Source organism: Homo sapiens, chromosome 6 (assembly GCF_000001405.40).
Source record: "Homo sapiens chromosome 6, GRCh38.p14 Primary Assembly".
Classification (NCBI taxonomy): domain Eukaryota; kingdom Metazoa; phylum Chordata; class Mammalia; order Primates; family Hominidae; genus Homo; species Homo sapiens.
This window is the reverse complement of record NC_000006.12, coordinates 160800866-160814682: the sequence shown is the minus strand read 5'-3', so window position 1 is coordinate 160814682 and position 13817 is coordinate 160800866. Positions and strand designations below refer to the sequence as shown.

The 13817-nt window shown below is 36.3% G+C and overlaps 1 pseudogene, besides 1 other annotated feature; it reads right to left on the bottom strand.

The window, feature by feature from the left end:
* LOC107986665 (plasminogen-like protein B) overlaps positions 1–13817 on the bottom strand; it is a 124780-nt pseudogene that overhangs the window by 84026 nt on the left and 26937 nt on the right.
* Positions 4257–4426: an enhancer, noted in NCBI's record as "experimental_91154 CRE fragment used in MPRA reporter constructs". NCBI's record gives its function as "activates a minimal promoter by MPRAs in K562 erythroleukemia cells, with activity observed for both the introgressed and non-introgressed 6:161231374 variant alleles {active_cell/tissue: K562}" and the evidence as "EXISTENCE:reporter gene assay evidence [ECO:0000049][PMID:34662402]".

Sequence of the window (13817 nt, the reverse complement as noted above, 5' to 3'; positions counted from 1 at the left end):
TTGTGTTGTCACAAATGACAAAATATCCTTCTTTAAGGCTGAATAGTATTTCACTGCCTGTATATACCACTTGAAGTCAGTTTGTTGAAGTCACGTCTGTACTCTCATGTTCATTTCAGTAGTATTCACAATAGCCATAATATGGAATCAACCTGTTATTCATCAACAGATGAATGGATACAAATTTTTTAACATAGTCGTACTGTTTAAATATGTTTAAATTACCCAAATTCTAAATAAAATTAGAAATACCAAGTTACAGGTAAAAACTAGGAGAAGTATTTATCTAGAAATGGAGTTCTCCTACAGAAGAACTTATAGAACCTGGTTGATCTGTTATGGGCTTTCAAAAGAAGTCCCAATGTCATTAGCATTCAATCCACGCCCATTCTCTTTATGATATGATGTGTAGTAGAAATACATGGTTTTCTCTCTCATGCTATATGTGATTATCAAGGCTTTATCCTTTCTTGGTTGAGATTTCAAGTAAAATACTGACATATGCAAGAATGATTACACATTCAAATGTACTTTTATGTGATCTTTCAAAAGTGTGCAGCTGCAAGCATTCACAGAGTTATATTGAGAGTGATCTTTCTGAAATACAAGAAAATAATATAATGTACAAAGCTCAGGACACTATTTCCAACTTTTAAAACTGTATTTCAAAGTCTAATTTCCAGTGACTAGACAGATACTTTAATTATTCCACAATAAAAACTACATACATGGTGAGTTATAAAAAGGAAATTATTTTAGTGTTAATTATAGTAAAAATACATCTGAAATATTCTGTTGAATATTAACATTTATCTTAAATTTGGCTAGTTTTACTGACAGGTACAATTTTAATAAGAGTAGTTGAATATCAAGTTAATATACTCAAAATACAAAAAAAAGTGATTGTTAATAATGTTACTTAATGAGAGATGGTATAGATAATATTGCAGATTTTCCAAGTATCACTTTATTAATGATACATATGTATATACATATATATGACAAAAAACTTAATAGGTGTTATTATTTCTATGTATCAGATGAATTAAGATCATAAAATAGCACTAGGAATTATAATTTTACATTACAGGTATGTGAAAATTACATCTCCCACAGACCAAATTAAAAAAAATGAAATCATGTAAAAATAACTTACAAATATTTATTAAACCTAAATTCATAAGAAAAACTTAGTTATAGATATTTATGATATAAATTGTACAGTATTAATTTGTTAGTATAACTTGAAACTAGCATTCTATGTGAAATGTCAGGGAACCCAAAAAGATAACTTCACCATTAATAATTTCCAGCAGCCTCTAATTAGCTAATGTATCTTGAAAGTATACGTACTACATTAAAAACTAAAGTTATAATTCATCCAACACGTCTGATACAGACATTTGTATTTGAGGACAAACACATTTCCTAGTGAGAACACTCAGTAGTTGTGCAGTGCTGGAGGTGGTGTGGATGGCAGAATGGAGGGAGGGCTGAATGAAGGGGTATTTTGTTGATTAATGAGTCATTGTTTGTCTATCGGAAGAGTGGCTAACAAAATGAAAATTAGTAACATTCTCTTAGAGATGCTGTTTAGTAGGTAGGGGAAGTCAGAATGTCAAAATAATCCATAAGTAGATTATTCTTTATGATCAACCAATCATCAAGTTTAGGTGGGAAAGAGCCAGTGTTGACTCACAGGTTTCTGATGTAGACAACAGATATGATTTGGAAGACAAGATGTTGGATTCAAGGTTGTTTATATTAACTTGAGGTGAAAAGTCGTTTGTTCTGAGCCTTTTTCTAGATGGAACATAAAGTTTCTGAAATATTTTTTATTTTGTAGTAGTGATGACCTTATGATTGTATTCTCATATCTTTCCCAACTCACTGGATTTTTAGGTTGTGCTGTATTATTCTTTAATAGAATAAAGGTTGTTTGAAGGATTTGAGTCAAAACACGAACTACTTGAATTTTCAGTGGAGGGGGAATGAAAACCAAGTGAAAGATTTTCAGGATGGGAAGCACTGTTTTGATAGTGATGTCTAGGACTGCTTTATTAAAGAAAATACGAATCAAGTGTTTTGTGTGTGTGTGTGTCTATGTGTGCCATTCAGGTGCTGGGAATACAGTGGTGAGAAATGATTCTTGCTTACATGGAGCTTACAGTAGAGTGGAGAAATAGACCTTAAACACATGCTTATGTAAATACAGTTGATCCTCCTTATTTGCAGATTCTGTGTTTGCAAATTTGCCTGAGTGCTAAAATTTATTTATAATCCCAAGATTAATACTCACTGCAGTTTTGCAATTATTCACAGGCATGTACAGAGGGGCAAAAATTTTGGTGGCTGCTGTGCACACTCCAGGCTGATGTCAAACAAGGTGACACTCTGAGTAAGCATCTTGTTTCAGCGCTGTGTAAACCAGTGTTCTTTTTGTGGCCTATTTTTTGCTACATGTTTTGCATTTTGTGCTTTTTATGGTGATTTTGTTGTTTAAAACAGCACCTAACCCTAGGGCTGAGGTCCCGTCTAGTGTTTCTAAGCACAAGAAGACCATGTTGTACCTTAGGGAGAAAATTCATATGTTGGGTAAGCTTTGTTCAGGCATGAGTTATCAGTACCAATGTGAGCTCAATGTCAATTAATCACCAGTACATATTAAATAAGGTGGTGTTATCCAGAAACACACACAAAACAAGGTTATGTATTGATCAATTGACAAAAATGTAAGCAGAGGCTCCCAGGAAACTAACCCTGTATTTCTCCTTGGAACAATTATTCAGTATTCACTAACTCAGTGTTGGTGGCAACTTCATAGACCATAACTACCTTGGATAATGAGAACTGACTATACATATAAAATTACAATTAAGGAAAGTGCTTTTCAGAATAAGCGGTTGGTATTAGGTAAGTGTATGTTTTTGTTTATGGAAAAGGAAGATATAGCATTGAGTTAGGTTGTCCGGGAACATATTCCTGAGGATATGGTGTGGTGTTAGAGTATAAAAGTAGAATAGGGTTTAATAAGATTAAAAGTGAGTGGGTGTGTCATCCTACACCTATGGAATGGACTTCTTGGTGAGAAAGCATGGTTTTTGTCAAGGACCTGAAAGAAGCCAGTGTCACTAGAGCTTAGCATTGAGGTAATCATCAAGAGAGGTCTAGATTATGCAAAACCTTATAGATCCTCAGTCTAAATACTAAAAAGCCATTGAGAGGGGCAAGTGGCGGCAATGATAAAAATAAAAATTAGTTTTTATTTTTGAAAAACATTTATCTAGCAAAGAATAACTCAGAGATGACAGCTTAGACAACTGCGATGGCAGAAAAGAGAAAGAGAGGAGATTAAACCTATATTTAAGGCCATCTAAGGAAATTAAAAGGTGTTTCTCTGACTGGACAGACAGTAGCTAAAGGTAAAATGAGGCCAGTAACTAAATTCGACAGGTTGACGCAAGGTGACAAAGTGGCAGGCTATTTTAACATGAATGAGAAGAACAAAGATAAATCACTTTTCATATTTTAATCTCATTTGGTTAAAAATCCACTTTATATTCAGAAAGTAGGAACCCATTTTTCTTTTTTCAGGAGTGAAATGAGGGTTAATCCACAGGAGAATAAACAACTGTGGCCTCATAGCATATGAGATTACTTTTCTTTCATGAATAGAATATAATTAAATGCAAGCAGTTTTAATGGAAAGAGTGAAAAACTTTTATTTTATTTGCCTAATCTGTGGAGGTAGCAAAAATTGTTGGTTTAATCCTATTTTAGGATATCATATGCATATTAGCTCTTCTTTTTGATTTTTTTCAGAAAGACAAATACCTTCTTCAATACCTTATTATTATTTTTGCTTTATGAGATTCTTGGTTATATATTATGGCTTTTAAATAAATATTAGCGTGATTCAGAACAGGTCGATTTTTTGACTCAGAGACTAATCATCTGAGAATGATTTTTGGAAAGCATGGATTTATATAGTCAGAAAGTTCTTTAAAGATTACCAAAGGCAAATCTTCCATTTTAGAGAGGAGTAAAGTGAAGCCCTAAGAGATGAAGTGACTTTGAATCATTAATTTGTAGCATTCCTTTAACAAGAACACGTACCTCCATGTTGCACAACTCCTGTAGGGCACAGCCTCTGAGCTCCTGCAAAGCTGCCCTGTGGGACTGCAGGTTCCTGCTTCTGAGACCAGGGCACTTCTACAATAGGTAGTTTTCATGAGCTACCTTATTAAGTTAAAGCACCCAACTGAGTCATCATCCTCACGAAAATCCATAATGTAATATTTGCTTTACTCTTTGTGGGATCAGGACTTAGATATATACACACTGATGATTCTCAGTATGTACACAAAGGCAGTTTTCTGAGAACTACTACATTTCTGAGCCATAAAATAAACAAGCAGAGTAAATGTAGGTGGCCGTTAATTATCTAAAGTGCTGTGAAACTTCAACAGGTTTTAAACCTCTGCTTTCAGAAATTTCTGTGTTTTAAACTTCATGCTTCAGCCGTGCTGGTGATGAGAAAAGAGGCTCTACTTTTTGTCATGGTGTGATGGATGCTGATTTCCTAGTGTGCAGAAGGTGATATTTTTCAGAGAAGAGGCAATTATTTGCATAATAGTCTTTGCCAACACTCTGCCCTCCTTTGAGATGAAGAGCTTTCTAATATTGTACTATTAATTGTTACCAGCTACTGTGTTGTGATTCGTTTTCTCTGAAAGAACATATAACAAAGACATGGAAATAATTCCTGAAACAATTCACAGGTTTGAGATGCAATAAGGAATTCAAATATCAATCCCAAAGTGGGAAGCAGAATTTTAGACTTTGTCAACTGAAAAAATAAGTGATTCATGGGGGGAGGGGGGTTATTTTAGAAAAAAAATGAAAGCAAGAGAAAGGAAGAAAGTATACTATTTTCTTCACTTTTACAGATGACACAGTTGGATATCAGTAACACCAGTTTTGTTTTTGCTTTGCTTCAGAAATCTTCAATATCAACACTTAAAAAAAGCCTAAAAGTCAACTTGAGAGGAGCTATTTAAATAGAGCTGACAAGCATTATAATGGGCTGCGGAGTCCAGAAGCAAGTCAGATTTCATGTGAAGTTTATAGCTTTTCTTTGCTGGTTGAATTTTCAAATCACATGCTATGTTTATAACAGCCTTCAAACTGCTGTATTCCAGGTTCCTTCAGCTCTTCTACTTCAGATCGTCTATGCTTGTCCCTGAAACTTAGTTCTCATGTGTGGTTGGAGTATTTGGTCATCTCTGTGGTATTATTTGAAAAAATTGGAAAAATAGATGAAATTTTGATATATCCCAATTAAACTTGGAGTTTATATGCCATAAGATTTACTCTTAGAGAGTGTATTTAAATTAAAAGCATTTTCTACATATCCCATAGAAGTACTCCCAAGAGGGAAGTATCTTAACCATGGATAATCACTAATGCCTAAATATTCACTAATTTATCAACTACCCTTTAAACAGACATTCAGTGACAAAAGAAACTAAATTACCCAGAAATCACCTCTTTACCTCTAATTTATCCATCTTAATGGCAATAATGCTGCCATGTCTTTTTGTCTCTGTTCCTTCTACACTATAATTGTAGGTATTTTTTTCCAAATTAATGTATCATAATGTGTTTTCAAATAACATAAATCTTGTCTTCAGCAGTGAATATAATTAAGTAGAATTACTTTCCATAAGCTGATATCACTGAATGTAAGGGCAATGACAAAATATTTTCTATGTTGTACTAACCATGTCTGGATCTTATAATAAACTTTTCTGTGGATACTCCGTGGTACCCCAAGTAAGTGAAAAAGGGACTTTTGATCCTATTTAGCCTATAACTTTCCACAGGCAGAGACTCTGCAGATTACTGAATTAACTCACTTACACTTTAATATTACAATTTTAATATTTTAATATTTAAAATTTTAATAAAGTATTGGATGCACATGGCTAAAAGATCAAATAGTAGAGAAAGGCATATCTGTTAGTAATGTTTACAAATATGAGTAACACAAAACCAACTAACTGCCAGAGGTTTAAACCATGGAGATGTTCTTTTATTTTCTTCTCATATGGAGGACTCAAGGCAGATAAATATGAGGTTGGACTGGTGACTCTAAACAGCCATCAGGCCCAGATTCTCTTTCTGCTGTGACATGTCCATCATGTCATCACTTGTCATCAAAGATACGATGGACATGTCATCATGTCCATCACTTTTTGTTAAAAGTGACCTTTAATGCCTGCAGCTAAAATTCCTAGGTCATGTAGGGTCAGCTATTCTTTCCGTGGATTCTATATTGTGGAATTAAAAAAACTATGTCTTTATCCAACCAAGAAAGGAAATGAAATAGTTTTGGGATATAAGAAGAGTTTGAGAAAGGAAGGAAGCATAATTTATGCGCTAAATTTCTCTCAAACACCTTGTTGACAAAAAGAGTCAAACTCTGTGAAATATTTGAAAATATTTATCCTGAGCCGAAGATAAGTGTCCATGGCCCGTGATATACCCTCAGGCGGTCTGGACAACTTGTGCCCAAGGTGGTTTGGCTACCATTTGGTTTTATATATTTTAGGGAGACATGAGACATCAATCAAATACACTTAAGCTATACATTGGTTCAGTCCAGAAAAGCGGGACAACTTGAAGTAGGCATTCCAGGTTATAGTTAAATTTAAAAATTTTCTGACTGGCAATTGGTTGAAAAACTTATCAGAAATAGAAAGGAATATCTGGGTTATGATAAGATATTTGGGGACACCAAAGTTTTACCCTGCAGATGAAGCCTCCGGGAAGCTGGCTTCAGAGAGAATAGAATGCAAATGTTTCTTATCAGAATTAAAGGCTGTGTTTATGTCAAATGCTGTTCTGCTATTCCTGAATTACAAAAGGGAAGATGGCATACTGAGGCATGTCCCGCTCCCCGCTTCCTGTCATGGCCTGAACCAGTCTTTCACATTAAATCTGGAGGGCCCTGGTCCAGGATGAGTCCATTTAGAAGGTTGAAGGACAAGTGGGAGGACTTCAAATTTTATTTTTGGTTTACAACCTCCAGACCAACAATTCCCCCTTCCCATTATAAAATAAGATCCATCCACAATCTGATTCATCCATAAATTATTTTGATTTTGCCTTCTTCTCTATTAAGTAACAAAAATGATATTTTTAAAACAAATATTGTAACCACCCAAGGGGTTCTTCTTGCCCACTGTATGTAAAATGAAGACCATGGCACTGCAGTAGGAAAGAGTTTAATAAACATAAGGCTGGTCAAGCCATGTCGGAGATGGAGCTAGTACTCAAATCATCTCTTCCAAATCTCTTAGGTTAGGTGTTTTTCAAACTCAGTTTGGGGAAAGGGGTGGGGGTGGCTAGGCTTGCTACTGATTGGTTAGGGCAGAGATGAAATCATAGTGGGTCAAAGCTGTCCTTCTGTGGGCTGAATCGCTTCTAGGTGGGGCCATGAGATCAGAGTTGGTGGGTCCAGGTGGAGCCATGGGTGTGAGACAAGCAAAAAACCTGAAAGACATCTCAAAAGGCCAATCTACAATCGTGTCTTGTCTGCAGGAATAACTGGGGAAGTTGCATATCTTATAGCCTCTGGAATAATGGCTGACAATCTTTCCTGCCTGTGCCTTAGCAGGACTCAGGTTCCTCTCCTATCCCCAGCCTGATGGCCTCCTATTTGCTTTAAAAAAGCTGGTGAGTTTTGGGCAAAGCCTATTTGTCATTTAAACTATAGCCTAACTGTCTTCCAAAGTTAGCTCAGCCCAGTAGCCCAGGATTAATTAAGGGAAAGGCAAGATGTGGGGTGCCTATGTGGGGTTAGCTCAAATCTCATTCACGGTCATAATTTTCTCAGTGACATAATTTTTGCAATGGCAGTTTTAATAAGGACATGCCTGAAGCATAGTAAGAGCCACATTCCTTGCAAAGTCTAGCTCATCCTGGTGTGTCTTATAATAGGACTGCTATTAATATTACACTGACTGCTTTCTCTCGGCTCCACCTTGCTCAGCCACAGCCTTCCTCACTTGGACACTCGGGACATGCCCAGGGTCTTCGGTTTGCTTTTTCTTCAGACTATCTTGTTCTTCCCCGTTGGTATTTCAATTGCTATTTTCTCACTTCCTTCAGGCCATTATTCAAATGCTGCTTCTCAGGCCTTGCCTGGCTACCGTTTCTACAATTGCCACATCCCAAACTCTGCACATTCCATCCCTCTTCTTCCCTTGATTTATTAGCCAATATACTGAATTCTCCATACTTAAATGTTTTGTCACCTAGAATAGTTTTTTTTTTTTTTTGAGGGATTGGATTTTTGTCTCTGCATTCAGTGTGGTAACTCTGGTACCAAAGACAGTTTCTGGCACTTAGGAAATATTGCATCAATTTCTTCAATGAATGAACATAACCTGAAGGATGGAGGGGTTGGGAAAACTGAACTTTGTTTCAGGATCTCAGCGACCTAGGTGAAGGTGGCAGAGCAGCCAAGATCTGTTGCTATTTGTTCTATATGTGGTTTCCTGGTTTCTTGTTTTCTATCTGGGACTGACTATTGATGTTTCATATTTTTTTCTTTCCACTGTTGAATATTATGTGTGTTTAGGGGAGGCTTAGATTTATTTTGGATAAAAAAATAGCCAGGATTATTTGCTATGGAGCCACTGTCTCACAGGCTGAATTATGTGGGCCAGAGAGAAAAGGGAGCTGGCTTTGCTGTCCTTCATCTTTCCTATTTCCCTACCCAGCTTCTGTCACCATCTACTCAAAATAGATGCTAATCTGAGCAATGTCAGAGCTTCCTCCATGAAACTCAATGAAATGATTTTAATAATGAGATCAATGGCAGGCTTCAGAAGAGAAGGTGCATATATTCTTGATACTGTTAACCAAGTTTAGCCTAAAGCTGCCTGGTATGGTTAGGCTTTGTGTCCTCACCCAAATCTCATCCCAAATTGTAATCCCCATAATCCCCGCATGTCAATGCTGGGACTAGGTGGAGGTAATTGAATCACGGGGTGGTTCCCCCCTGGTGTTCTTGTGATAGTGAGTGAGTTCTCATGAGATCTGATTAAGCGTCTGGCATTTTCCTTGCTTGAACTCATTCTCTGTCCTGCTGCCCTGTGGAGAGATGCCTTCTGCCATGATTGCAAGTTTCCTGAGGCCTCCCCAGCCAGGTGGAACTGTGAGTCAATTAAACCTCTTTTCTTAGAAATTACCCAGTCTCTGGTATTTCTTCATAGCAGCATGAAAACAGACTAATACACTGCCTCCTTACGCATTTCAGCCTAAAGGTTTCTCTGTACATTGTGAATTATAACCCAAATGGAGTTGTGTATTAGTCTGTTTTCATGCTGATGATAAAGACATACCCAAGCCTGGGTAATTTATAAAGAAAAAGAGATTTAATGGTAGTCACAGTTCCATGTGGCTGGGGAGGCCTCATACTCATGGTGGAAGGCAAAAGGCACATCTTACATGGTGACAAATAAGACAGAATGAGAGAGCCAAGCAAAAAGGAAAACCTCTTACAAAATAATCACATCTTATGAGACTTATTCATTATCATGAGAACAGTATGGGAAAAACCACCCTCATGATTCAATTATCTCCCACCAGGTCCCTCCCACAACAAGTAGAAATTATGGGAGCTACAATTCAAGATGAGATTTGGGTGAGGACACAGCCAAACCATATCAAGTTGTAAATAGACTGTAGCAGCTCTTGTGCCAATCATTGAGTTTTGACCAATCAAAGGTAGCCAACTGTTCCAACTGTGTTCAAATAAGGCAAATGCTGAGCTGTAGCCAATCTGGCTGTTTCTGTACCTCACTTCCGTTTTCTATATATCACTTTCCTTTTTCTGTCCATAAATCTTCTTCTGTCACGTGACTTTGCTAGAGTCTTTGAACCTACTCTGGCTTGGGAGGCTGCCCGATTCACGAATTGATCTTTGCTCAATTAAACTCTCTTAAATTTAATTCAGCCAAAGTTTTTCTCTTAATAATTTATTCTTTCAATCTGGTATAAACAATTATAAAAATAATAGCAACCATAAATCAGAACATAGTGTTTACCAAGAATCAGGCACTTGTCTGTTTAACATACATTTAGCATACTTTTTAAGGTTCATGACAATCCTATAGGGTATGTACTATTTTTATTCACATTTTATACATTATTAAAATAAAAGCTTTAGCCAAATTAAATTTAAAAGTTTTAATTGGGCAATAATGATTTGTGAATTATTTTGAGTTTGAGAGGATGACCAAAACTGTAGTCATTGATGTCACTATCATCATTGTAAATGTACTTATTTCATCTTGAAACTCAATGGGAAATAGCAGAACAGTGTGTTTTGCAGGTGGAAACAAGGACTTTAGATTGTTTTTTGCAAGAGTTGTGTAGAGGGTACCTCCTTATCCTGAAATGTCCTGTGTACAGGAAAAAACAAAACCTGATCTGTTCTAGGATCTATGTGTTTCCTTAAAGTCTTAGTTTGATTATGTCACATTCAGCATAAGTGACTTCATTTTATTTTGGTCTGTTCTGCTGGGGCCTAGTGCATGAGCTCAGACCAAAACAATGGCCTCCCCTGAAAGTGCCCCATTCTGGTCAGGTTCTTACTTAGGTGAGAGTGTGACCAAAATTTAGGGCCTCAGCACCACTCTCAGTTACCATCATTTTGAGTTTCTGATCTCAGCATGTAATTCAGAGGTTATGGTGCGCTTATGTTCACACATTTCTTTCAGCTCTTGTTATTCCAATTGAAGAGAGACCATTTGACTTCTAGAGATAGCTGCCTGCAAACATTTAAAATTTTGCAAGAATACAGTGTACCAGGGAGACTACTATGATGACTATCAGGAGAATAACACCAAGAGTTTGCAGTATGTTCCTTAGCCAGGGTCCCCTTAAACCAAACCAACTAAAATCAAATAGATCAAAGAATGAGCTAGACAAAGAGTCTACTCACTTCAATTAAGTAGTCTCTTCGATAATCCCTTATAACTGATTCTTTATACTATCCCATGTGATAAGTTTCTCCATGGGCAACAAGAAGTGCCAGATACTTCTCTGTTTAGCCAGTAAGTAACTTAGAGCAATTCTATTATTTAGCATAACTTTCACAAGATAATTTCAAGTCTGTTGTGTAGTCACAGCCTTTATAGTAGGATCTCCTACAGAGCCTATCATGAGGGATAAATTGCCTCATTTACTCCAATACATGGAAAAAAGGACCTAACGAATGAAGCCCTTCTAGAAGGGTGAAGATCATCTGGCAATATTCTCTTTAACACATGATGTAGGTTAAGAGGAGTGGACCAATGTTCTGTTTCTGACTGACTATGAGGTTATGTATGTACCATTAAAATTTCTCACATACATTGGGTCTTTATCTTCCATCTATCAAGGTTTAAGGTTATCCATGTATAAGACTGGCTGCAAAATCCTTCACAAATAAAATTGTAACCCTATGAGTGCACACAACAGATCCCCTTTTCACTTCTATTGTTCATAGAGGCATAAACATAGGAAAAAAATGGATAGATAAGGAAAAAAATTGAAAGATAGGGGTTGTATGATAGTAGAGAAGTCTTGCTCCATGATCTTCAGAAAAAGTTGTTCACATCATGGATGCCATCTTCTTTCGGGGAGAAACTTCCCTGATTAGCTTTACCTGAAGGTTTCCAATAGGTATGCAGTTCCAACAGTGCGGAGGGACCCTACTGAGTTGTGAGATTATGAACGCAAGGTTAAAAGTCCCAAAGTTTTGCTTCAACGTGGATAGCCAGGGCAGTCTTTCTGATGTTCTCAGAAGAGCCAGTCTTTGGGTTCTAGATGGAGAAGTGGTTGATTGTTCTCAGTCAGTGAACCATGAAAAACTTTCTTTACCTGGTGAAAATACACTGTGGCATAATGAGCTACTATTATAACTTCAGCCCTCTTTCATGGGAAAGCTTTTATACAACCAGAAAACATGCATTGAAAATGACAATTGAACAAAATCACTCTTTAAATGTTTAAATGGCCCATCAGGTAGCAGAATTCACCTGAAGTTTTGATTTTCTTCTCAGGAATATGGGTTTGACAAACCAAACTTTGGTCATAAACTATTTTAGCAATTTAGAAGTCTGAACTCCAAATATCTGAGATAGATCTCAGTCAATTTAGGAATTTCATTTCACCATAGTTAAGGATTCACATGTGTCCAGAGGAGGTTCTGATGACATGTGCCCAAGGTGGTCGGGTCACAGCTTGGTTTTACACATTTTAGGGAGACATGAGACATCAATCAATATATGTAAGTTGTACATTGATTCCGTCCAGAAAGGTGGGGACAACTTGAAGTGGAGAGGGGGTTTCCAGGTCATAGGTAGGTAAGAGACAAATGGTTGCATATGTTTGAGTTTCTGATGAGCCTTTCCAAAGGAGGCAATCAGATATGCATTTATCTCAGTGAGCAGAGGGGTGACTTTGCGTTCTGCCTGTCCTTTGTCAACAAGAAAATTCCTTGTGAGGGAGGTATGTAGCTTTTTCATCTTAGTAGTTTTTTTGTTTGTTTGTTTGTTTGTTTGTGTTTTTGGAATAGAACGGGAAGCAGGTTTACCCTAAACAGTTTCCAGCTTGACTTTTCCCTTTGGTATAGTTATCTGGTGTTTCAAGATTTATTTTCCTTTTACAGAAGTCACCACACCAATATATATACTTAAGTTGGATTATTTTATATTTCTATGATGAGCCATAAAATGCATAACTTTTAATAACAAAAGCTCTAAGGACTCAGGAAAGACAAGGCGGCCAACCTGATTTTCTATGAGCCCATGCTTAACATTGGACTTATATTCTCTTGAATAACAGTTGTTTCTCCAATTTAGGTGGATAGCACTGATAACTGATGAATTAGCATAGGTAATTTGACTTAAATCATGGAGTTTATTCAAATTGTATATGTTTAGCATGGAAATCTGGCAAAGTGTTTTATTGTTATTCAGTTAAATTTGTCCTGCTTGGTTTAACCCAAGCAGTCTCTAGGGTTCTAAATTGAGAAGTGGTTGATTGTTCTCAGTCAGTGAACCATGAAAAACTTTCTTTACCTGGTGAAAATACACTATGGCATAATGAGCTACTATTATAAAGTTCCAGGAATTCTTACCCAGGCCAAACGATATGATTCTAAAGTTATTAGAAACCTTTACTGAAGAGTGCTTCTCAGGGTAATTTCATCCTTTCATTAACCTCCTTAAAGACATTATATGCTAGGATTTTGCATGCTTGTGAAGTTTTCAGAAACTGCATCAGAATTAAGTTATAAACTATGGAAATGACTGTAAATAATAAGTTAAAGACACAGTTGACAAGGAAATTTGGTTATTTTTGTGGTCTACAATGACAACATGCTAACATGATTATGATTGTTAGCATATAGTGAGACATATTAGAAGTTTAGAAATCCCATACAATTTTGGAACATATATTAATAACAATCATCAAAATATAACCTGACATACTTCTCAAATATGTCAAAGGTTTAAAACATTTGACCAAAATAGGATCACAGGTTACTGTAAAACAATAGTCATTTATTTAGTCAAAGTGATAATTGATTTTTTTAAACAAAAACTTGTATTCTTTGATAAGGGAGACTCAAACAGTTTTCCAAACAATCAAAAGACCTTTTGATTTTTCCTTTTTATCTTTTTTCTTTTTGCAATTTACACAAAAGGTTAATAAAAATATTTTACTCTTATTAACACTACCCACAATTTTTATTC